The 26,602-nt window shown below is 46.1% G+C and overlaps 1 long non-coding RNA gene across 1 annotated transcript; it reads left to right on the top strand.

Annotated features, from left to right (window-relative positions):
* Positions 1-6,031: 6,031 nt before the first annotated feature.
* LOC105372116 (uncharacterized) lies at positions 6,032-10,524 on the top strand. The gene is made up of 4 exons (XR_935467.1): positions 6,032-6,195; positions 6,330-6,399; positions 8,360-8,414; positions 10,405-10,524. It is a non-coding gene; the product is annotated as an uncharacterized LOC105372116 (long non-coding RNA).
* Positions 10,525-26,602: the final 16,078 nt, after the last annotated feature.

Here is a 26,602-nt window from a genome sequence, read left to right as displayed (position 1 = left end):
AATAAAACTTTCAATATTACAGCACAGATCATTGGACTTTCTAGCAAACTAGACGAGATTTCAACTCTGAGGACAAGATACAGACTGGTGATAGAATTAGCTTACGTTTTTTGTTCACAGTTGTGTAAATATGCACTTTATTTTCCTTTTCTACCTAATAAGATTTAATGGCTACATCAGGACTTATTTTTTCAAAGCACCTGTATCAACAGTCTCTCATGTTTTTAGGGTTGTTCCTGGGCAGTTGCTAACCGGGCCTTGGAAACTCTGCTTTCCTCCACATTTTCTAGCCAAAGCTAATTCATGATTTTATAGTTTGTAATCTCTGTTTCCACAATTCCATTGGAAGGCATGAACTTAGATTCCCATTGGTGTGGTAACTGTGGAAGATGGCTCGGTTACAGTTTTTCTTTTCTTTTCCTTCTTTCAACTTTTTTTTTTTTTAAGAGATGGAGTCTTGCTTTGTTCCCGAGGCTGAAGTGCAGTGGCACAATCATAGCTCACTGCACTCCTTGATCTCCTGTGCTCAAGAAATCCTTCCACCTCAGCCTCCTGAGTAGCTGAGACTACAAGGGCATGCTACTGCGCCCAGCTAGTTTTATTTATTTATTTTATTTTGTAGAGACAGGCTCTTACCATCTTACCCAGGCTGGTCTCCAACTCTTGGGCTCAAGTAATCCTATCCTCCCTCTTCAGCCTCCCAAGATACTGGGATTGTAGGTGTGAGCCATGGTGTCTGGCCTTTCACAGTTTCTGATCTCAAATCCTGTCAAAATCTCTAGCCAATTTGCAAAATGGCCCAGCTGACAGAAAACCTGAAAATTTGCTTGAAATCCCTCTAATTGCTTAGAATTACTTAATTGTTTCCTTAGTGGGCACTGTGGCGTTATGTGTCCCCCTGAAAAGAGATACACTGATGTCCTCATCCCCAGTACTGCAGAATGTAGCCTTATTTGGAAATAAAGTCTTGCAGAGAACCAAGTTAAGATGAAGTCATTCGGGTGGGCCCCGATCCAGTACTTGTGTATCCTTATAAAAATGGGAAATCTGGATGCCAGCATACACAGAAGGAAGTTGATGTGAAGACGCACACAGGGAGAAAGCCATGTGAAGATGGAGGCAGAGACTGGAGTGATGCAGCTGCAAGCCAAGGGACGCTAAGGATTGTGGGCCACCACCAGAGCCAGGGCGGGGCAAGGAAGCATTCTACCCAGAGTCTCAAGGGAGCGTGGCTCTGCTGACACCTTGATTTAAGACTTTCAGCCCCTAGAACTCTGAGATAATACGTTTCACTTGTTTTAAGCCACCCAGGTGTGGTACTTTGTTATGGCAGCTCTGGTGAATCTTTTAACCCTGGGGAGATTTAGAACTGAGAACAGAGATTATGAAGCAAATCAAACCCCTAGTATGACTATTGTGTAAAATCTGGGAATAATTTGTGTGCATTAGCATTTGTCTTAGCCAGCATTCACCTTGGAAAGCAGAGCTGAGAGGAAGCTCAGGGGCAGGTAGTTTATCTGATAAGGGATATAGGGAACAGGAGTAAAACAATAAAACTGGGTGCATAATTGACTTGGTCATTGCTACGGGCAACTGATGCTCCATCCTTCTGGGCACTTCTGAGGAACCATGTGGAATAAGCCTCAGGTTTGTCTGCCGGAAAAATGGTAGAGGAGATCCTTTATCCACTGGCTTCATTCTCTCACTGGATATCCCGTACACTTCTGGGGTCAGTCTCTCTCTCTCTCTCTCTCTCCCCCTCTCCCTCTCCCTCCCTTCTCTCTCTCTCTCTCTCTCTCTCTCTCTCTCTCGCTCGCTCTGTGTGTGTGTGTGTGTGTGTGTGTGTGTGTGTGTGTGTGTTTATGAATGTAGAGCAGTTCCCAAGGAGCCCTTTGCCATAGCGTCTGAATGTCTGAGAATTACACAGGTACAAAGCAAGAGACTGAAGCTGAGAGGTGCTGTCTGGCCTCACCTGTGGTTACTACAGGAGTGATTAAAGCAAAAGGTAGGCTGTGAGGGTGTGAGGTAGGACCCAAGTGGTGTTATTAGTCCATTTTCATGCTGCTGTTAAAGACATACCTGAGACTAGGTAATTTACAGAAAGAGGTTTAATGGACTTACAGTTCCACGTGGCTGGGGAAGCCTCAGAGTCATGGCAGAAGGCAAGGAGGAGCAAATCACATCTTATGTGGATGGTGGCAGGCAAAGAAAGGATGAGCTTGTGCAGGGAAACTCCTCTTTTTAAAACCATCAGATCTCATGCATCTTATTCACTATAATGAGAACAGCACAAGAAAGACTTGTCCCCATGATTTAATTACCTCCCACTGGGTCCCTCCCACAACATGTGGGAATTCAAGATGAGATTTGGGTGGGGACACAGCCAAACTGTATCAGGTGTCCAAAAGTATTTGGAGAATTTGGCTAATTACAGTCCCGAGCAATCAATTTAAATTCTAAGCTGAAAACTGCAAGAGAATCTTAGTCTATAAATAGCATAGGCACATTTAAAAGAACTTCATCATTGTATTTATAAACTTGATTTAGGAGATTTGTAAGAATCACTTTAGTACTTGGAAAAGTTGGTTAGCTAGACAACTGAATTATTTTAAAAAGGGAATTTATTATGTTGGGTTTATAAATACAGATAAAATATTCCAAGGAATTAAGTTATACAAATCTTCTTAAAATTATTGTGAAATTTGAAAGATTTATAAATTGAATACTATGTCTAAATTGAACTTAAAAACATAGGGAAAACTAAGCCTTTGAATTTGTTTCTGTAATAATTGGCTTTAAATACCAAAGTAAATTCTGAAGATTATTTTTCATGCACAAAAAAAGCTATCTCTAAAGACTAAAAACATTTACGGTTGTATCTTCAAATCATGTGAAAATTATTCTTTTCTACACTGTTCATCTGAAAAGTGGGTTCTTAAAAAGGGGGTTAAATACAGTAGTCCCCCCCTTATCCAAGGCAGATACGTTCCAAGATGTTTCATGGGAGCCTGAAACCTTGGATAATACTGAACCCTATATATTCTATGTTTTTTCTACACACATATATATGGATGATAAGGTTTAATATATTAATTAGGCACTGTAAGAGATTAACAACCATAACTAATAATAAAATAGAACAATTATAATATACTATAAGGAAAGTCTTTTGAAACTTATGAATTGTTTATTTCTGAAGTTTCCCATTTAATGTTTTCAGACCATGGTTGATCCTGGATAACTGAAACCGCCAAAAGTGAAACTGTGAATAAGGGGAGACTACTAGATAAGATATTCACTTAATTAGCAGCTTAAATTTTGTATCAATTGGAGTTCTTTGGTTGCAAACAACAGAAATCAATTTTGGCAAAGCAAAGGAAACTTACTAGAAGGATTCTGGTAAATTTCACAGATAATCAGTGAAAAGGCTAAGAGCCAATCTCTGAAATGGAGAGAAACCAAGTTGGCTCTGGGAGTGTGAGCAGGGTATTTGGGCTCTGCATTAGGTAGGTTCAGTTGCAGGTATGAGAAGCTACTCTGGTTCTTGTCAGCAGAGAAGGATTTAATACAGGGAGTTGGGTGCTTACAAAGTCCATGCAAAGGCTGCAGGAGCAGACTGTAGACCACTAGAAGATTGACCTGCTGAGGGTATGCTAACTTTGCCACTGCCAGGAAGACTGAGGTTGAGGAAGCTGCTTTCCTGTGAGCTGTCTTTTTTCTCCCACTACCCTCACCTCTTGTGGTAACATGCAGTGGAGGGTCATCCTTGTGAACTGGGGTCAGCCCAGCATCCTTAGTTGGGGCTTTGATTTTGTCCTGGTGCTTCTACTGCTGCACAACTGTCCCAATGCCCAGTGGTATAAAACAATAGCCATGTTATTATGCCATGGATTCTGTGGGTCAGGAGTTCAGATAGGGTTTTGTGGAAATGGCTTTGTCTGCTCCATGATGTCTGGGAAAACTTGAACAAAAAGGGCTGGAGTCATAGGCAGCTTCTTCGCCTACATATCTGGTGTGGGTCTGAAGGGTGGGCTTAGCTGGAATTGTCAACCAGAGCATGTATGCATAGTCTCTCCGTGATGGTATCTTAGGACAGTGGAACCTCTTACGTGGAGGCTCAGTTCTCCAAAAGCACAGGTTCCAGTCAGCAAAGTGGAAACTGCCTGTTTTTTTATGACCCAGCCTTGGAAATCACACAGCATCACACTTCTGCTGTACTCTATTGGTCAAAGCAGTCACAAGCCCACTTAGCAGAGGGGACTTGGACACCATCTCTTCATGGGAGGGGTGGGGATATGGACACCATCTCTTCATGGGAGGGATGTTAAGAATTTGCAGCCATGGTTTGAAACTACCATGGTTTCATTCTTCTGAGGTCTAACACTCCCAGGTTATAGTACCCTTGTTTTCCATTAATCTTGACTGCCCCGGTAGCTACAAATCAGAAACCCACCTATAACCATGTAGCTGGAGGTCCTTAGCCAGGGTGCATGGCTTACTATGATATTGATCCTCTCAGCCCTTGGGACTGGAGGGGTTGTGGGGTCCTGGGTCAGCTGGAGGATCTGGGCTGGTCCCCACCAGCCAGAGTGATCTCATCAGTCACTCTGATAGTTGATACACATTTAATCATTTTCTAGGTGTACCTCAAGGTGAAAAAAGTTGGGGTGCACTGCACTAGACCATAAGCTTCTTGCAGGTAGGAACCTTATTTGCTTTCTCCGTCACTATACCCCCAGGGTGCCTGACATAGCAGGGCTCAATAAACAGATGAATGAATGAATGAATGAATTTGTGCTAACACTCATGAGGTGGAAGCAGCCATTGCGGCTTTGCCTGTCTTTGTCTGTTAGGGGAGGACCATCTACAGGAGTTACCAGGAGTGTCCTGAAATAGTGGGCCACTCTCCCCATCACAAGTCCTTGGTTCCAGGGAGCAAGTTTCCTTTGTCCCTTTATCCATGAGTTCAGGGTTTTCATCATCACTTGGAGTCCCACTAGCCAATTGGTGCCTCCTTAGGCTCTGATCAGCTGAGAAAGAAAAAAGGGAGTTTGAAGGGGAAGAGAGACAAAGCAGAAGCACTGCAGCAGAAAAGGCTCTCCCTGCCTTCCCCACTCCCTGCCATAGGTTTCCCCCAAGCCTCTGAGCCAAGGCCTCCAACCCTGGGGTTGCAGCCCAGCCCAGCCATGGACCAGCTGTGTAGTTGTAGAGAGACAGCACCGAAACTCCTGCCCTCAGAGTTCTCTTCTGGAACCTGCCTCCCTCATGAGGCTGTGTTGAGGTCACAGTGCTGCCCACAGTGCAGGCTCTGAAGTCCTCAACAGGAAAGAAGGTGCAGTTGTCTTTAGTTGCTCTATGGCTGTGATATTTATCTCTGTTTCCCCAGCCAGGCCCTGGGGGACAGTAGACCCTCACTCCATATTTGTTCATTGAGGAAATAACTGAAGTGATTTTTAATTGTCCTGGTTTTGTAGGCCAGAAAACGATGGCACAGGAATAGAGTGGCCTGACTTGAGTTTAGAGTGACGGTAACAGTTTCAGACTGACACTTACTGAATTGCCAGCTGTCTCCTGGCCTCCAGATATCCTCATTTCTTTTTTTTTGAGACAGAGTCTCACTCTGTCTCCCAGGCTGGAGTGCAGTGGTGTGATCTCAGCTCATTGCAACCTCCAGCTCCCAGGTTCAAGCAATTCTCCTGCCTCAGCCTCCCAAGTAGCTGGGATTACAGGCGTGCGCCACCACACCCGGCTAATTTTTGTATTTTTAGTAGAGACGGGGTTTCACCACATTGGCCAGGCTGGTCTCGAACTCCTGACCTCAAATGATCTGCCGCCTCGGCCTCTAAAAGTGCTGGGATTACAGGCGTGAGCCACTGCGCCCAGCCCAGATGTCCTCATTTCTTATTGTCCATGTCAGCTGGAACAACGAGGCCCAAGGATCAGATTCAAACCATGGCTGCCACGGAATGCAATCTTTATAAATCCAGCCTCCTTTTCTCCTAACTCAGTCTGTTCCTGCTCTTATAGTTTCTTCCCTGATTCTGATGGAAGTTTGGCTCCATGGACCAAGTCTGCATGTCAGGGTGTTGGAGACAAGAGTGGATGTTTCTGAACTAATGGTACAGGGAAGAGGTGAGCCCATGCTTCTGGAGAGTGCTGAAGTGAGAGGTGGCTAGCACAGACTTCTCCCTGCAGGTGCATAACCCCAAGGGTTCGGTATCTTTCCCTGTCCCAGAATCTCCAGTTGTCCCACTTGGTGTTTGCATTCTGCATGTGTCCAGATATATATATATATATATATATATATATTTTCTTGGCTCCTGGAACAGGATTGTCATTGAGGAAGCTGGTGGGGAGCGTGCTGTTAGAGACACTCAATAGGACAAATAGCTCATGGGGGTAAGTACACAGAAATCAAATTGAGTAACATTCTAATTCATAGGAAAACAAGCCCCTGGGTAGCTTGTGCCAGATGAGGTAAGTGGAGAGCATGATGTCACTGTTCCAGACATAAGTCTCCACCTCTTTGGTGTCCCCACTCCTTCTCCCCTTTTCTGCTTTTCCTTTTTTATCCTCCCCCATTGCCTCCCTCCCCCATTGTCTCCCTCCCTGCCCCTTTACTCTCAGGGTAAGCTGCATTCCTTGCTCTGTCTCCATTATTCTTGGGGGCATCTTCTCTGGTTTCCAAGGGCACCTTTTGACAGGTGACAAGCATCTCCCAGGGGAAAGAGTCCTAACAGTGGAAACTCCTTCCCCACCTTGTGGGTGGGCGGGATGTTTTTTATGTTTGGGATCATTTTCTAGTCCTCAAGTTATATCATGTAGAACCTACGTATTAGGCTGGCAGTTCAGAATTCAGCTGGGTAGACCATTTGGGCAGGTGGGAAATGATGAGATGAGATTAACTTGGTTCAGAAGCAAGTCTGGTCTGTGTTGCCGGCCTGAGGGGACCAGCCGCTGCCCCTTCCAGCCTGGACCACGTGGTCAGCAGACACAAGACAGGTTGCTCCTCCCGCTGGCTCCTCTGGAGCCTGATCTAATTATCCTCTCCTCCAGCCTTTGCAGCAGCTGCTGGCTGCATTCTCCTCAACTCCTTCCCCTCTCCCTGCCTCCCCCAACCTATTAGTCCTTGCACTTCCTGGTAATTCCATCTCCCAGCATTTGATCCAATTTGGGGGTTCATGGCTTCCAAGAAGTGGCAGATGGAAGGCATCAGAGTCCCCCCTAAGTGAAGAATTGGCTTGGAACTTTGCCCCTGTCAGACTGGTGATGCTCAAAGCATACTAGTAGTCATAGTGGGTAAGTTTCAGCCAGCCATCCAGGTGTGTGTGAACCTTAACTCCTCCTTTTGAAGTAATCCTGCAGACTGCACATGCATTAGGACTTTGTAATATGTTGCACTTCTAGACCTGCCATCCCAATGGATCAGCTCAATCATGAGATGCAGATGAGGCAGGGTTCCCACTCCCCACTGACATGTGTGGGCAGGCAAAGGCTCAGAGAGATGAAGGACTGGACCTCAGATACTAAGACCTGGATCTCCCGTCTCCTGGACTGGTGATCTTGCTACTACACACATGTACTCCAAACCTTTGTCTTAGTCCATCTGGGCTGCTATAACAAAATTCCATAGACTGGGCAGCTTGCTGGGAAGTCCAAGATCAAGGCAGATTTGGTGTCTGGTGAGGGCTTGCTTTCTGGCTGATAAACAGTGCCTTCTCAGTGTGTCCTCACATGGTGGAAGGAGCCAGGGGTCTCTCTCAGGCCTCTCTAATAAGGGCACTAATCTCATTTATGAGGGCTCTGCCTCCATGATGTAGTCGTCTCCCATAGACCTCATTTCTAACACCATCACCTTGGGGGTTAGAATTTCACCATATATAGGACGTCAACATTCAGACCATAGCAGCCTTCCATGCCTTGTGTCTGCTTCCCCAGAGGCCACTCTCCTTTCCTTGGCCCCAACCAGGTGTCACCCTGAGCTTCCCATTCTGTGTCCCCCAACCTGAAGACCAAGCCCCTGCTTCCCTTCAGTCCACTGTGGACTTCATGAGTGCTGGCCAGGGACCCTCTGGGTATCTGCCTTGCAGGCAGACAGTCCCAGGGTCTCCAGTTCTGCTCTCACTTCCCTCTCAGCAGAGTAGAGGCCATTTTCTGTCCTGTCCTGAGACTTGGCCCTCTCCCCGACCCTCCCCTTGACACTAGTTCAGTGGGTATTTTTCAATATCTTCTTAGCTTTATGATGTATCCAAAAATAATACACCTCCTCCTATGATTTCCAACCATTACCCCCTCTGCTCAGTGTGTTGGGGTTTGCATTTCAAAGCCCTGATTAAAATTGCCTAACTTCTCTTCATAGTTTGCACTTGCTCCTCTCCTCCCCAAGGCTGGTTAGGAACAACAGCAGCACCAAGGTAAGTGGCTAGTGGTTCCTTTAACAGCTGTCATTGTTTCTCTGCTTCCCCCCTGTTCCCACACTCCAGAAGAAGGGAGCCAGGGGGAGGGGTTACAGGATCAAGGAAGCTCTGGACAGGTGATGCACAGTCGGGCAGTGTGTTCCTGGTGGAAATCTAGAGTGACTTCTCTCTGGGCTGCTTTGTCCTGCGGTGTTTCTCAGTGGGATGTCATGATGTGAGGAGTGACAGTGGCAGCCTGGATTTCAGCACCATTGTCAGCCCTCGGGGCTGCAGTGAGAATCCTTTCCCCGCCCCCCACCTTCCTGGTGGGACACCTCACTCACCTTCTCTGGACTTCTGCAGTTAGTTTTAGCTTAGAAGAACACAGTTTTCCTTTGTGCATTATCTCAGCCCCCAAAGTGAACGTATTTAGCCTTTGTCTTAGGTAGTTTACATGGGCGAATTTATAGATCATGTGAGAAACCTTTCTGCTTTGTAATCTTCACACACAACAAGCCACACTCTTCACCTTATTAGCAGAGCGTCCCTGAACTGGAAGTACGGTTATTAACACTGAGGCCTCTGACAAGTGAGGGTTCATCGCCAAATCCCAGTCTGATTGTTATTAACCTGTCATTTGTTTGGTTCCCAAACCTGTAGTGCTGCAAGTCATGGAAACAGACCATTAAAGATGACATCAGACCTTCCAGGGAAGGTCAAAGGCTGCCCTGCATTGGTGGGCGGGTGGTAACCGTGGGGAGGGTGAGATGAGGGGACAGTAGACCATTTCTGTCTCCCAACTCTTTCTTGCCATCTCTCTTACCTTTGGGCCAAGGGGTGGGGCTTGGGAGGTTTCCAGCCTGGCCCTTGGCAACATGGCACCTCCTCGGGATGACTTTAGGGAACTCAGGGGAACAGTTATTTAATAGTTACCTTATAGCAAATTCTCTCAGATGGAAATCACTGCAGGGTCCTGGATTCTGATTTCTATCTCGGCACATGCAAACATCCCCATGGTAACCCTCCTTGGTCCTTCCTCTTGTTAGTAACCTGCCACCGATTCTGACGGTGAAAGCCTGACCCTGTTGAGCAAGTCAGCAGCATCTGATCACTGGCCAGTATTTGCAGTGGATCTGTGACCCATTTGACAGAAGATGGGCCGGAGCTCTGAGAGTAGAGAATTCAGAGCTTGATTTAGATCTGTCAGCCCAACCTACTCCCACATGTCCAGAGAGTCCATTCCTGGGATTCCAGATCATGAATACTAATGGCAGATCTGTCATCCTGCTGTTCTGTGCAAATGAAATGCCTCCTCCAGGCTGGGCTGACCCTGGTGAGAGAACAAGCCTTGAAAAGACCCTGACATGGTTGATTTTCGCCAGGGGCCACCACAGAGAGGTGTGAAAAGAGTAGAGGGAAAAAATTACACAAAGCAACTTGGAGGTTTTGCTGGCAAGCAACCAGAGTGTTATCAGCAATCTGTTCAGATCTGCTCTGGCCATTGAGGCCGGATTCCTGCGTTGCCTTATTCTTGCATTGCCTTCTGAAGCAGAGCTGCGTGTTGGGGCTGGAGAACAGCTGGGGAGCTGCAGGATAATCACTCTCACAGCTAGGCTGGGGCTCATAAAACTTTAACAGCAGCTTCACAGAGCCTAATCCTATAACCCTAGCAGGCTCACCCACCCTTCCTCTTTGAAGTCGAGTTTCTTTCTAGAAGAGAAAAGCCAAGAAGTGACCTGTTTGTCACTTGCACAGCAGGGACCCTGGCCTGAGCCCCAGGAGAGGGAGGCAGGTCTAGGCTTGCTTGGGGCCTGGTGGCGGGAACCTGCTGGGAGCCTATTTGCCTGAGGAGACCAAGCCCCTCCCTCTGCCTTTATTTAAGGAAAGGGAGCGTTCAAGCAGTAGGAGGAGGCAGGAAAAGGGAAAATGGCAGTCTTTGTAGAACTTAGAGCCTCAGGCAGCCACAGGAAGGGGCTCTGAGTAGGGCTTCTGTGTTACTCCCCTGCAGCTCCTGCAGTCACAGCAGCTGCCATGTGAACATCAGGTCCCCGTGGCCTCCACTGCAAGCATGCCCTCTCTGAGCCTGAGCTGAAAGGGGGACATGGGGTGGCCAAGATGGCTTCTTTGGTACACAGGTAAGGTGCCTCTTGGTGACTTTAGAAATTATTGGAGAAGAAACTGGCTAGGGCTGAAAGTCTTGTAACATCAGGAGTTCAAAGAAAAACTTTGGACAAATTAAATTTAGCAGAATTTATTTGAGCGAAAGATGATTCATGAATTGGACAGCACTCAGAACCAAGAGAGGTTCAGAGGGCTCTGCTTTAGCAGCATGAGCAGAGGGCTTTTATAGGCTGAAAGCAGAGGCAAAGAATTATTTGATGGGCTGCAGGCAGGTATTTGCCTTGTTTGGGTATGATCTGGTGGCAAGTCCCCCAGTTAGAGGTTAGTTGTCAGTTTCTGACTGATCAAGCTTAAGTTTCATTTTATTGCTGACACTGGCCTTTGTTCGTTTATGTAGGAACCCAAGGTGCCGGAACAGTGTAAGCCTAATGGCCTCCCAGTTAATTTTTTTTTAACACAGTCTAGAGAAGAGGCAAAGACATGCTGTCCACATTGGTCTCAGTACCACAAGGCTAGCTTACCTCTCAGGTTATCAGGTCTGGGAAACATGGCAATGTAGGTTTTTGTTTGTTTGTTTAATCATCCAGCCCAAAATGTCAAGCAATATAGTTTTTAAAAGGAGAAATTATCAACACGGATTTCACCTTTAAGGAAAGATCCACTAAAGGGCTTCTGGTTAGTGAATAGGCCAACCCAGGAAGGTCACACCTGAAAGACTAAATGCTTGCAGTGTTTGCACAAGTTATGAAGCTGTGGACAGGTACAGACACCTCCTCCTCCATCTTCACCAGGTCTTATTCTCAGCCTCCTGCAAGTTTCTGCCCCAGAGTGGGGCTTGCTCCTGGCCTGATCTGGCTTTCCCTCTCCTGAGAGGGATTTCAGATTCTCTATCTAGGAAAACAAAAACAAAAACAACAAAAAAACCCAAGTTATCCCAGAGGGCCTTTCCCCAACTCTCCCTGTGGAAATTCACTTCTTTATTCTCTGTCCAGTTTAACTTCTAGCTCCTTTACCAAGTGGTCACTGATTCTTCCACTTGCTTTTTAGTTTCTGTTTCTTGAAAAGAGATTCTGTTGCAGGCTCATGCTTTTTCTGCCCATTTCATCAAAACCAGCCTGATCTCTATCCCTTTCTCTGCAACCTGTTCCAAATCTAGCTGAGCTGATGAAGGAACTCAGGCTAGTGAAATGCGTTGTTTCTTCTGGGTAGTGTGGTTGCATGTGATCTCAATGGTGTGGCTGTTAAGGGCTAGAGGTTGGCATCTGGGAACAGATTAGAGTGGGAAAGAGGGTCTGGGGGTCTTCTCTGCAGAGTTTTGATCACTCCATTTGGGGAGACATCTGCCACTCTCATAAGAGGTCTAGCCCTGAGCTGGCCGCGGTGGCTCACACCTGTAATCTCAGCACTTTGGGAGGCCGAGGCGGGAGGATCACTTGAGGTCAGGAGTTTGAGACCAGCCTGGCCAACATTGTGAAGCCCTGTCTCTACTAAAAAATTAGCTGGGCATGGTGGCACACACCTGTAATCCCAGCTACTCTGGAGGCTGAGGCAGGAGATTGCTTGAGCTTGGGAGGCAGAGGTTGCAGTGAGCCAAGATCATGCCATTGCACTCCAGCCTGGGTGACAGAGAGAGACTCCATCCCAAAAAAAAAAAAAAAAAAAAAAGAAGAAGAAGAAAAGGAAAGAGGTTTAGCTCTGGCTGTCTGACCAAGTCTCACTAGGTATTTAAGGAATGAAGTTTGATTTCCACCATCCTCCGTATATGCAAATCTTCATAATTATGAGTTATCATAAGAGTGTTCTCTTTTCACCTAATTTTACAAGCCAAAAGGCAAGTTTCATGAGAGTGAAAGGCTTACCCCCTCCCCCAACATTAAATCAGTGAACATCTTGGCAGCAGCTCCTTCCATTTTCAGAATCAGACTAAAATTTCCTCTGCATGCACAAGGCGGACTTATGTCATTGTCAAGTCTAATAAATAAATCACAGCCTAGCGTCATGGGACTCAAATGTAAAATGCAACGTCTGGCACCACTAGAGATAAAATAAATTACCTGTAATCTGGTAAGCAGGTCATCTTGAGTCTCCACTCCGTCCTGGTGACTTCAGAGATTGATCTGCTAAACTTAGGTGAAGCAGAAGGACATATAGGTTCAGGGCTTGAAGTGAAATTAAAGTGTTTGGGCCAAGAGATGAGAAAATAAAACGCTTTGCACAGGGAGGTGGAGAAAAGAACCTTGGCCTTGGCTTCCCAGGGGCTTAAGGGTAGTTCCTTATGAGACCCAGTTTGGCCTCTTGCCCTCCAATTTCGAGAGATACTATTCTGTCTAATAAACATCACTTTTGGCCAAGCACTGTGGCTCATGCCTGTAATCCCAGCAATTTGGGAGGCTGAGGCGGGTGGATCATTTGAGGTCAGGAGTTAGAAACCACCTTGGCCAACATGGTGAAACCCCGTCTCTACTAAAAATATAAGAATTACCTGGACATGGTGGTGGGCGCCTGTAATCTCAGCTAGTCGGGAGACTGAGGCAAGAGAATTGCTTGAGCTTGGGAGGCAGAGGTTGTAGTGAGCAGAGATCGCACCATTGCACTCCAGCTTGGGCAACAGAGAGAGACTCTGTCTCAAAACAAAACAAAACAAAAAACCACTTTTTTGTTGTTGTTTGGGGCTATTTGAGTTTGTAGACAATCTTTATGACAAGAGACCAACACTTTTGTGATTGATTTGAAGGAGGCCTGCCCCACAAAGGATACATGGGGCCTGGAGCTCAGCTATGAGTGCCCCTCCTTTGGTTTCAGAAGATAAAGACCCCACTGAAGTGGAATATTATTGAAAAAGGATTATGGCTGTAGTCAGCTCATAGCATTCTAGAACTATGCTGTCCAATAGCATTGTAAAGGTGCCACATGGGCGATTTAAAATTTGTGTATTAGCCTGCCACATTAAAAAGAGACAGGGGAAGTTAGTTCTAATATATTTTATTTAATATATCAAAAATATTATCATTTGAACATGTAATCAATATAAAAAATTATGAATGAGATATTTTATTTTTGGGGGGTGAGCTAAGTCTTTGAAATTTGGTGTCTATTTTATACTTGCAGCTGAAGGGGATCAGAATACATCACCCTAAAATATGCCACTTTGCCATAAGGATTATTTTTAGCTGAAGACAATTGAGAAACAGCAGATGCTAGGATTGAAAACAACTCCCTGCCCTCTCCCCCATTTTCCTAAAAACAGACAGGGACACCTTTAGATTCTTATCAGCTCGGAAATAGCAACAAGAGGACTCTGCATAACAACCTTACTAAACGCACCTTTTTTCTTTTTTCTGAGACGGAGTCTTGCTCTGTTGCCCAGGCTGGAGTGCCGCAATCTTGGGTCACTGCAACCTCTGCCTCCTGGGCTCAAGTGATCCTCCTGTCTCAGCCTCTCAAGTAGCTGGGACTACAGGTGTATGCCACCACATTTGGCTAATGTTTGTGTTTTTAGTAGAGACAGGGTTTCGCTATGTTGCCCAGGCTGATCTTGAACTCCTGGACTCAAGTGATCCACCCACCTTCGCCTCTCAAAATGCTGGACTAAAGGCATGAAACACTGCACCTGGCCTTAAAATAACTTTTCTCTTCCATTAGTTCCACCTGTCATATATTTACCTTCTCACAGCTTGCCACTGCTAAAGCCTAAATCCTTTTTCCTTTGTCTCTTTTCTACAATTTTATTGTTCTTTGTTAAAATGTTCTATAAGCCTCAAGTACTAACTACCCTTTTAAGTTAGTCATCGCTTAGTTTTTCCTGAGCGTATGCATGCTGGACATATTAATAACTGTTCGTTTTTCTCTTGTTAATCTATCTTTTGTCAATTTAGTATCTAGGGCCCCAGCAAGAGAATCAAGAACACAGTAGAGGAAAAGTGTTTTTTCTCCTTAAATAGCACATCTCAGTTTGGATTAATCACATTTCAAGTGCTCAGTGGCCACATGTGGCCACAGGTTACTGGATTAGACAGTGAGGACCAGGAACTTCTAGCAACCAGGATTTCAAAAGGGTAGGGCAAATCAATTTCAGTGAGAGAAGCAGGTAGAGAAAGGTCTCAGATTCTTCATCTTGTGCAGTTGTTAGTTCTAAGCCATGACTGCCCTGAGAGGGTATGGCTCAGAGAAGGGGAAGGAGACAGGGAGTGTGTGGTTTTGTGGGCCTCTGGGCTGAGCCTACAACATGTCCTCACGTTCTCCTCTTTTGCCAGAGCCACTCCTCACCCCTCATGCTGAAGGAGAAATAGGATTAAAATTTATGAGGAAATGGGGCTTGCAGATGGGAGTTTCTCTGTATAAATATCTATCTTCCCCCAGCAAATGCAAAGGTAGGAGACACAGGAAGATGTTAAAGTCAGGAGGACTTGAAAAATGGGGAATGGGTTGTTCCTGAGAGGGGCTAAGTATCCAGTAAACATCTCGAAATATAGGCTGGAGAGATGGATGGCTAGAGAGATATGGGTTAAAATGCAATAAATCAAGAAAATGTCTCTGGGTGGCAGGAGGAGGTGAGAGGCAACTTGTGGCTGTATAGTGTCTGTAAGAGCCCACTCATTCACTGTGATTTGAAAGCTTTGCTCATTTGGCTCTTTAAAAAGTCAGCTTTTTTGCAGCAAGAGACATAACACTGGGCAAAATATGCCCCTAAGAGCAGCCAGGTGGTCCCAGGCGTGTAACAAATTTCACCAACTGTAGGTGTTAGAGAACAGGACAAGTTTATATAGTCTACCAAGCTGCAGGGATCCCAGATTGCAAAGGGGTAGCAAGAACAAGATAGTGGAGAAACCAGGTGCCTTCAAATTCACCCTGTAATCACTGGGTTGCCTTCAGCTGTAAGCAAAGGAAAACTTGTGACCAAAGATGAATTGGCCTAATCACAAGGATATTTATTGCTTTCTTAACTGAAATGTAGGCAGCTCTAGGGCTGATTCAGCAGCTTAACTTTGTCATTGTGGGCTCTTTCTGTTCCTCTTTTACACTCCCTCAGTCTGTTTGGCTTTTTGTCCTTTGTCCTATTGCCTCATGATCTCAAGGGGGCTGCTGAGGTTCCAGCATTGCATCAACATTTAAAAGCAAAAAGCAGAGGGTAAAGGTTTGCTCCTCATGTGGCCCATTGAACTTGAGTATTGAGAAGCTTCTCAGGAAACATCCTTTTATATCTTGTTGAACTGGGTCACTGGCTGTGAGTTGCTCTCAGGAAGGCAAGGGAAGCAACTTTTTCAGCCTCTAGGGAGGAAGAGAAACAAGAGAAAAGAATGTTGGAATTTTTGAATAGCCAACCCCAGTGAATGCACAAATCCCAAGATAAAGTTTCATTCTGTAGAAGGAAGAGCACTAGATTATGAGCCAGGAGCCACCCGCTTGCCGTGTGAACTTGCAGCTGTCACCTAGCTTCCCTGGGCCTGCGACCCTCTCTCTAGGGTGACCGTTTGGATTCACTAGATGGCCTCTTTCTGCTCAGACATCCCTGATTTTATTAAAACTCCTCCAGGGTGTTGAATGAGCTGTCTGGTGGTAAGGTAATTAATTTAATGAGCTCCACTTGGTAAAAACAGCTGTGGCTTGTCTCCTTCCCATGGTCAGGGGACATTTGTTGGCTGAATCAACTTTCCTATTCACAGATCCTTATGGAAGTTTAATTACACCTACAACCTTGTGTCTTTGGTCCTTAAATGTCTTTCCCCAGTGAGAGCATCAGCTCAAGAAGGTGTCAAAGAGACCCTACGTATGTGCTAAACCAAAGAGACATCTCTTGTCATTGATTGATCTCTGCCCTGCCAAGGCAGGGTCAGCCTGATGTGGTTTGGGTGTTTGTCCCCTCCAAATCTCATGTTGAAATGTAATCCCCAGTATTGGAGGTAGGGCTTGGTGGGAGCGGTTGGATCATGGGGGCGGATCCCTCATGAATGGATTAGCATGAAACCCTTGGCAATGAGCGAGTCATGCGAGATCTGGTTGCTTGAAAATGTGTGGCATCTCCCTCACTCTCATGCTCCTGCTCTTGCCATGTGAGATGTCTGCTTCCCTTTCGCTTTCTGCCGTGATTGCAAGCTTCCTGAGGCCCCCCCCAGAAGCAGCTGTTGGCACCGTGCTTTTTATATAGCCTGCAGAACTGTGAGCCAATCAAACCTCTTTTCTTTATAAATTACCCAGTGTCAGGTTTTTTTTTTTTTTTAGATGGAATTTTGCTCTTGTCACCCAGGTTGGAGTGCAATGGCATGATCTCGGCTCACTGTAACCTCCACCTCCAAGGTTCAAGCAATTCTCCTGCCTCAGCCTCCGGAGTAGCCGGGATTACAGGCGCCCACCACCACATCTGGCTAATTTTTGTATTTTTTCAGTAGAGATGGGGTTTCACTATGTTGGCCAGGCTAGTCTCAAACTCCTGACCTCAGGTGATCCACCCGCCTCAGCCTCCTAAAGTGCTGGGATTACAGGCTTGAGCCACCCAGCTGGCCGGCGGAGGTATTTATAGTAATGCAAGAACGGCCAAAAGCACAGCCATAGGCAGAACTGTGAGGGAGGAAATTGGCCCTCTGAGGCCCCTCCACATCTCCCACTCCCACCTGGCATTCATGAGTCTCCTATAGTTGGATTCTCTCAGCTCTGGTCTGGTTGTAGGTTTTGTCTACATACTCCCTAGAGCTCTTGTCCTCAGTTTAAGCAACAGCAAAGACAGACAATCATCTCTGTACCTTAAATCTAAATTTCCAGGAGAGGGATTATTATTTGCTCAACTTGGATCAGGTGTGCACCCTGGTCCAATTACTGTGGTGGGAATGGGAGGGGTGATTGAGGAAGGTCACCACAGTACAAATCTGGATTCAGGGGCCTTCCCTGTGGGGTTAGAGGTGGGGCGTAGTGTACTTTTCAGTTGATTTTTATTTTTAATGGGGAAGTGGGACCAGGTGTGGTGGCTCAGGCCTGTAATCTCAACACTTTGGGGAGGCTGAGGCCTGAGGGCTGCTTGAGGCCGGGAATTCAAGACCGGCTTGGGCAACATAGCAAGACCGTGTCTCTACAAAAAATACAAACATTAACCAGGCGTAGTGGTGGGTGCCTGTAGTCACAGCCACTTGGGAGGCTGAGGTAAGAGAATTACTTGAGCCCAGGAGTTTGGGGCTGCAGGGAGTCACTATACCTGGCCCCACTTGGTGACAGAGCAAGAGTCTGCCTTTAAAAAAAGGGAGGGTAATAAGTGGATTTTCCATATTGTTTGATGTAGTGTGAAAACCCCAGAGATCACATAACATTGTCAGCATTATTAAGTTTGAATTCTGGATCCACCAATTACAATTGGTATAATCTTGTTCATTTTATTTTATTATTATTTTTTGAGAAGTGTCTCGCTCTGTTGCCCAGGCTGGAGTGCAGTGGCGCAATCTTAGTTCACTGCAACCTCTGCCTCCTGGGCTCGAGAAATCCTCTCACCTCAGCCTTCTAAGTAGCTGGGACCACAGGCGTGCACCACCAAACTCTGCTAATTTTTGTATTTTTTGTAGAGATGGGGTTTTGCCATGTTGCCCAGGATGGTCTTAAACTCCTGGGCTTAAGCAATCCACCTGCCTTGGCCTCCCAAAGTGTTGGGATTACAGGTGTGAGCCACTGCGCCTGGTCCTTGTTTATTTTAATTATTTATCAAACACTTACACAGTCATTCCTGGTATCCTTAGGGCCTTTTCTCCAAAACCTACAAGAATACCAAAATGTAGGATGCTGAAGTAACTGATGTAAAATGGCTTAGTTTTCTCCTATGACCTATGCATATCCTCCATATGCTTTAAATAATCTCTAGACTACTTATAATAATTTAATACAGTGGAAATGCTATGACAATAGTTGTTATACTCCAGTTTTTTTTTTTTGTTTGTTTGTTTGTTTGTTTTTTATGAGACAGGGTCTCATTCTGTCACCCAGGCTGGAGTGCATGGCGCAACCTTGGCTCACTGTAACTAACCTCTGCCTCTCGGGCTCAAGCCATCCTCTCACCTCAGCCTCCCGAGTAGTTGGGACTACAGCCGTGCACCACCACACCTGGCTAATTACTGCATTTTTTGTACAGACGGAGTTTTGCCATGTTGACCGGGCTGGTCTCAAACTCCTGGGCTCAAGTGATCCACCCGCCTCAGCCTTCAAAGTGCTGGAATTACAGACGAGCCACTGTGCCTGGCCTGCATTTTTTATTTGAATTTTTAAATTGTTTTATTGTTATTTTTTTCCCAAATATTTTTGATCCATTGTTGGTTGTGGATGAGAAGGGCCGGCTGCAAAACGTTTTCTACATACCTAACACTGTATTGGTCCAAGTGCTTTACATATTTAAACATCTTTAATCCTCATAGTAATGCTATAAGATAGATAACATTATTATCCCCATTTTACCGATGAGGGAACTGAGGCATAAAAAGGTTCAGTAACTTGCCCCAGGTCTCACAGCTAGTAACTGGAAGAGCTGGTATTCTAGTCCAGCCTGTCTGACTCTATTGTCCTTGCTCCAAACTCCTATGTTCGCTGACCTTGGACAAATTACTTCTCTGTGCCTCAGTTTCCTCATTGGTAAAATGGGTATAATAACCTATCTCTCCAGTTGTGGGAATTAAAATGGAACAGGACATGTAAAGTCCTGGAACCCCTGGTCAGGGTTCTCCAGAGAAACAGAATCAATAAGATATATGTGTACACATATACATATATATATGTATGTGTACACATATACATATATATATGTATGTGTATATATATATGTGTGTGTATATATATGTATATGCACACAAATATATACACACATATCTTTTTTTTAATTTAAATTTTAAGTACCAGGGTACATGTGCAGGATGTACATGTGCAGGATGTGTACCGACATCCTTATCTCTTAACCGTGCTTCTTTGTGCAGCCATTCCTCAGGCAACTGCACAGCCACAGAGCTCCCTTGGCCTCAGAACTCCAAAACCCTCAGTTTCACATTACAGTGCAGCTCTGGGGCGGCTGGAGATGATTGCTTTTCACGGCAACCCATCATTGCATGTTTGTTACGTAGGTAACATTACACAGGTTTGTTACATAGGTAAATGTGTGCCATGGTGGTTTGCTGCACCTATCAACCCATCACCTAGGTATTAAGCTGAACATGTGTTAGCTATTTATCCTAATACCCTCCCTCCCCTGACCCACCCCCCGACAGGCCCCAGTGTGTGTTTTTCCCCTCTTGTGTCCATGTGTTCTCATTGTTCAGCTCCCACTTATAAGTGAGTATATGCAGTGTACACACATATCTTATTGATTCCTTAAAATATATATTCCTTAAAATATAATTCCTTAAATATACTTCTCTCTGTGTGTATACATATTCCTAATAATTATACCTAATTCCTTAAAATTAAGTAAGAAATATATTTTAAGGAATTATGGAGGCTGGCAAGTCTGAAGTCTTCGGGGTGGGCCAGCAGCTGGAGATCCAGGGAAGAGCCAATGGTGCTTGGATGTTTAAGTCAGAAGGCTGTCTGCAGGCAGAGTTCCTTTTTGCTTGGGAGAGGTCATTTTTTGTTCTATTTAGGCCTTCCACTGATTAGGAGGGGCCCACTCGTGTTATGTAGGGCAATCTGATTTACATAAAGTCTCACTGACTTAATTATTAATTTCATCCAAAAACATCCTCACAAAAATATTTAGAATAATGTTTGGCTTGCCATGGTGGCCCAGCCAAATTGACACATAAAATCACACCCTCTAATCATACCCAGGGGGAGCCTATATGGGAGGAGTCTGACCTTTTCCTTCCTTCTCACCGCCAGAGCCCCCAGGAACCCAGCTCCACATGTCTCTTGGAATCTTCCAAGGTCTGGAGCTGTCACGTGGCTCAGCCTGGCTGTTGACATCCTCATCTCTTTTTTTTTTTTTTTTTTTCCTGAGACAGAGTCTCTCTCTGTCACCCAGGCTGGAGTACAGTGGTGCAATCTCGGCTCACTACAACCTCCGCCTTCCTGGTTGAAGCGATTCTCCTGCCTCAGCCTCCTGAGTAGCTGGGATTATAGGCATGGGCCACCACGCTGGCTGATTTTTGCATCTTTAGTAGAGACGGGGTTTCACTATGTTGGCCAGGCTGGTCTCATACTCCTGACCTCAAGTAATCTGCCTGCCTTGGCCTCCCAAAGTGCTGGGATTACAGGCGTGAGCCACTGCACCCGGCCGACATCCTTATCTCTTAACCGTGCTTCTTTGTGCAGCCATTCCTCAGGCAACTGCACAGCCACAGAGCTCCCTTGGCCTCAGAACTCCAAAGCCCTCAGTTTCACATTACAGTGCAGCTCTGGGGTGGCTGGAGATGATTGCTTTTCACAGCAACCCATCATTGCATGTAGCACTATTGCCCCCATGGTAATAACCACGCTGACAGAATGAGCAGTGAGCTAGCTTGCACATTCGTTGACAGGTTCAGCTTTCATAAGCAGACCATGATTCAATAAGAAATGGAATCTCAGGTGTTAGTTCTGCTCTGTCTCAGCATGCATGCTTCTATTGTTATGTTTTAATGATGCTACACATGCTTAAAAGTACGTAGGCACGTGTACCAAATAAGATCTCTATTATAAGTAGCTGTGTTGCCTCAGTTTTGCTGTAATGCTCACATAAGATAAACTCACATGACTTCAGAATTGCAAAAGATACAAATATATTCAATGTCACTGTGCAGTAAAGGGTTAAGTTGGTGGGCCCTGCTTGCTCAAACCCTGCACATTTCAAAGAAAGGCCTGTGTTTAGGAGGACAGGTTCTTGATTGGCCTCTGGGAGATAACCTCTGAGCCCTTGGAATAGACGGCCTGATAAGAGTGGTTTTTTTTGTGTGCCTGAGTCCCTGGGCCATGCTGTATCAGTGTGACCTCTGGGGGCTGGAGACTAAGTAGGTCACGTAGGCACTGCATGGCTATCTTTGACCATCCCCATAGAAACCCTGGACTCCAAGGCTCAGGTGACATTTTCTGGTTTGACAATACTACCCACATCGTTGCTGGAAGAATTAAGCACATCTTCATGCAATTCTATTGGGAGAGGACACCTGGAGGCTTAGATGTGGCTTCTCCTGGAGGTTGCTCATACGCCTTTTCCCTTTGCTGATTCTAATCCCTTTTCATGGTTATAAATGATAACCGTGAGTATACCAGCTTTTCTGTCTTGCGAGTCCTTCTAGTGAATCATGAAGCCTAAGGTGGTCTTGGGGATCCTCAAGACAGTCACTGGGCTGAGGGTTCTGAGGTGGGGAGCAGTGGTGGAGAGGCAACTTTTGGGAATATCAACAGCAGGAAATCAATAATGATGGGCCATGGAGGGCTCAACAGGTGGGGAACGTTGAAGGTCTCCAGGTGCACCTCAGAGACCTTATATATTTACCCCATTTTCCCACTTGAATGATAAAATCCTCTGGGGGCGGGTCCTTCTCCTACCTCTTTATCCCCCATAGTGCCTAGTGCAGTGCCCTGCAATGCAGGTGGTACCTGCCCAGATCCCCTACAGCAGGGAGTATACCCATCACCCAGCTGCTGTGGGTTGTGGCTGCTAAATAGCTCCTAGCTGCCTCTAGAGTTGCTCTTGGCTGAATGAGTTCTGTTTCCTCGCCCCACCCTCCCCAGCTGGCAGCCATGACTGGATGACATGGAGGCACCAAAGGCCATCCTCTTTTCTCAAGGTGGCCCCACTCTATGGTGCAATTCAGGCACCAGAGCTCTTGGTGGGACCAGGCTGAAGCTGGTCTGTAGCCAGGACCACAAGCCTGCTGAGATCCCCCTGGTCTAGGAAGGGGAAATACAGGAAGCTGATACTCTGTTGGTCTCTTGTATCCCCCACTTCCTAGAGCATTCGGGCAGTGAATCACTGGCCCCCAAATGCCCATCTCAGGCACTGATTTTAGGGAACCAACTCAAGACAACGATGGTCAAACTCTGATGGCCATTGCAACCCCACAGCCATATTTTGACACTATCAGTGGAGTGGAAAACTCACAGCATGGCTCACAGCGTCCTTGTTTCTGAATTTCTCAATGTTTAAAGCTCTACCTTAGTATTGAGCCCTTGAATTACAGGAGAGAAGACGTAAACCATTTTCGTGTACCTGTGAGCAGTTCTGGGAGACAGGATGAAGCAATTGTTGAAGACACGGTCTTGCTCTCAGCCACACACTTGCGTCATTCCTATGCTCCCTATTTTCCACCACAGAGCCTGTATGTTGGGTAGGTGCACTGAAGGGCCAACATGAGCCCATCGCAAGGGCCTTGAGACCGGTCTCACTTCAACCTTGAGATGGCTCTTTTTGGTTTCCGATGGAAACGGAGCCATTCACTACTAATGAAATGGAGTGTGGCCCAGAGTTTAGCAGAGCTGCCTGGCAGGAGTGCTGTGTCATGGAGCCTTGAGCCATGGGTTCAGCCCCCTGGTGGGTTGTGCTTGGTTTCCTGATTATGCACTGGACTCAGCCCTGCCACATTGTCACTCTTACGTGTGCCACTAGGCACTAACAGGCATCAAGGCATAGGAATGTTCAGATACTGGTGAGTCAAGAATGTGCAGAGCAAGGGAGAACATCAGTGCAGACTAAGTAATTTCAATTCTGAGATCTCAGGTGTCAACATCTAGAAGGGTTCTCGGTGGTCTTAGTGAAGTTCTTAATGTAATTCAATGAGGTGAAACTCACACCTCAAGGACCAAAATGTCCCTCAAGTCAGGCAAGAGCACACAACTCTTTCACTTAAGCCCCAGGCCTACTAGCAGGCTCTGACACAAAGACCCTACTGGTTTGACACCAACACTTCTCAACCATGGCTGGGATTGCTGATCCCAAAGTTGATTAGTGAGACTATTGGTAGAAAACTGATGGTACACTTGGGGTGTGTGGGAGATTGAAAAGAAAAGCCATGTGTTGCTGAAAGCCAGTTTTTATCCTTATAGGGAAGAAGGGAGGGCCAGGAAGAGTTGAGAAAACCCAAGCCAGGGCAGGGAGTGTGTTGCCAGCACTAAGCAGCTGTTCTCTGCCTGGGTCCTGGACCTGCTTCCTGTTAAATCCTACTGTTGACACCTGTCGGTGCTCTACTAATATCCATTTGGCCCTCACCTTTCTCTGCATGCCAGCCCGACTCCCATCTGTCAGCACCTGTGGCCTTTTGCCTATGCCCTTTTTCTTTCTTTCTTTTTTTTTTTTTTTGAGAGGGAGTCCCACTCTGTCGTCCAGGCTGGAGTGCAGCGGTGCGATCTCAGCTCACTGCAACCTCTGCCTCCCAGGTTCAAGTGATTCTCTTGCCTCAACCTCTGGAGTAGCTGGGATTACAGGCATATGCCACCACGCCCAGCTAATTTTTTTGTATTTTTAGTAGAGAGGGGGTTTCGCCATGTTGGTCAGGCTGGTCTCCAACTCCTGACCTAAGGTGATCCGCCCGCCTTGGCTTCCAAAAGTGTTGGGAATACAGGCATGAGCCACTGCGCCTGGTCCTGTGGCCTTTTTCTAGCCACTGGAGCCCATTCTGCTGCAGTGCAGGGCAGGCCAGAGGTGCTGCGGAGGGAGCATCCCAGGAGAGCAGTCCTCAACCCAGGCCTGGCTGCAGCAGGAAGTCTCACAGGTGTATGTTGCGCTCTGCCTCCTGGAGCTCCCTGCCAGGACACAGCTACAGTTCCCCACAGCAGGAGCTTGCACCGTTTATTGCTTCCTTGTCTTCCCTGTCACCTCCTCACTGCCCTCTCAGTGTTTCCTCATCCACAACCTTGCACTTGAATCCGTATCTCACGGTTTGCTGCTGAAGGAAATCAAACTAAGCCAGTGCCCTCTTCTCTTTTCTTTGTTTCCTTACTACACAGATCAGGCCCCAAGCTAGGCAGGAACTGTCTGGAGGGGCAGAAAGCCATTACTAAGGGCAGCTCTGGGGCTCCAGGCATCCAGAGGCTCAGGGCTCCAGCACCCAGGCAAAGAGGTGAGCAGAGCATGGGGCCTGTGATGGCCTGGTTCCTGCCTTTGTGGTCTGTTCTCATCCTCAGGGCTGATTTTGTTCCTCCAAGTATCAATCGCAGCATCTGTATCCCAGTTAGGTTGAATGAAACGAGTTTATCCTGGAAAGACTATTTGGGCTCTTGTTCTAGCTCTGCCACTGACTGTGTGGCTTTGGGCAAATTACTTTGCTGCTGTCAGTCTACTCATCAGCAAAATGAGGGGGTTGGATTAGATGATCTGTAAATGCCCATCTACTGTCAATTTTTATATTCATTGAATAATGAATAAAGACAGGACTATTACCCAGGCAGGTATTTCTGGGCTTTCTCAGTGATTCAGTCTCAATGAAGAGAATATGCTGTTTGACACACCCTTGCTACAGTTTGACTCATAATCGAGCAGTTGGGGACATCAGACATTTTCCCTCTCCATGTGGAGTTTACTAGTTCAATCGAGAACCACAGCTTTCAAGTCGAGCTTTTGCCTGTTCTAACCATCCTAGCAAAAAGCCTGGTTTCTAATCATGGTAGTAACCTCTGGCATAATGTCCCCTCAGCCTCAGCTCAAGTAGGATGGTTCCCACACTTTTAGAAACTTCTCACTAGCAAATGAAGACATTTCCCTAAAGAATGGAAAGTAAACGAGGATGTGTAATGAGACAATCATGTCATGAAAATAGGATGTGTAATTAGAAAATGTCATGGAAATGTGGCATTTCTGAACTGGAATGTCAGTGGCTAGAAAAGACAAGGCAAGTTGTGTACTTATTCACAAAGACGTGGAGGCCACATAGCATCTTACACAAGGGGTCAGCAAACTTTTTCTGGAGAGGGCCAGGTAATAAATATCTCAGGCTTTGTGGGCCATGAGGTTTCTGTTGCAACCGCTCAACTCTGTAGGATGGAGGCAGCCATAGATGAGGGCTAAGACTAGGTTGAGGGCCAGTGAGGCACACTTGCCTTGGGCACAAAATTTAAGGGTGCCGAAAGCCTCGGTAACCAAGATAAATATTTGAATGCAATATTTAAAAAATATTATTGCAAAAAATCCATGATATAAAATATCACAATTTAAAGTAAAGACAGAGGCCTGGCGTGGTGGTTCATGCCTGTAATCCCAGCACTTTGGGAGGCCGAGGTAGACGGATCACTTGAGATCAGGAGTTCGAGACCAGCCTGGCCAACATGGTAAAACCCCATCTCTATGAAAAATACAAAAGTTAGCTGGGCGTGTTGGAGGGGGTGCCTGTAATCCCAGCTACTCAGGAGGCTGAGCCAGGAGAATCGCTTGAACCTGGGAGGCAGGTTGCACTGAGCTGAGATTGTGCCACTGCACTCCAGCTTGGGCGACAGAGCACGACTCCATCTCAATAAATACATAAATAAAAATAAATAAAATAAAGACAAGATCAGACAAATATATAAATGAATAAGCGTAGTTTTGTTCCAATACAACCACTTGGCCTGGAGGCCATAGTTTGCTGATCCCTATGTTATTCACATAGGGTAGACCTAGGACCCCTCCTAACAGAAGTTTTCATCTTAGAATCAGAGGTGGCTGGATGAGATTGTGAACTATTACCTTTGAGGTGCCCTCTTTCCTCCTTTTTCGGTCCTCCTTCCTCTTTGGTGCTGTTTGCTGTTTGTGCTTCTCAATTCCCTCTCTCCACACTCCATTTCCTACATTCTAGCAGCCCAGGCCTCACATTGGGCTTCAAGTCTTCTTCAATATAAAATTTCAACCAGGTGTGTGGCCTGGCTCTGGCCTCCCTTCACCTGCATCCACTCAGCATGGCCACGCTCAGCAGACACTTTGGAAATAATCTGATAATTGGCTTAATAGGCTGCTCCTCTTGGCTCAGGTGCATTTCAACAGTAGAAAGTTCTTTTAGCCAAAAGACCTGTATTGTTTAAGGGTCAACTGTATTTGTTGAATTACAAATGAAGACTAACAGTTTAATATTACAAAGGGGTCGACTTCAGATGGATGGGATCTCAGGCATCTGTGAGGGGTAGCACGGGTGGGTATTTTTAGGTAGTTGGTTCCCCCCAATCTCATGATGTTGGCACCTTTTGTG

This window comes from Homo sapiens, chromosome 18 (assembly GCF_000001405.40).
Source record: "Homo sapiens chromosome 18, GRCh38.p14 Primary Assembly".
Taxonomy (NCBI): domain Eukaryota; kingdom Metazoa; phylum Chordata; class Mammalia; order Primates; family Hominidae; genus Homo; species Homo sapiens.
This window is presented reverse-complemented; position numbering and strand designations above follow the sequence as displayed.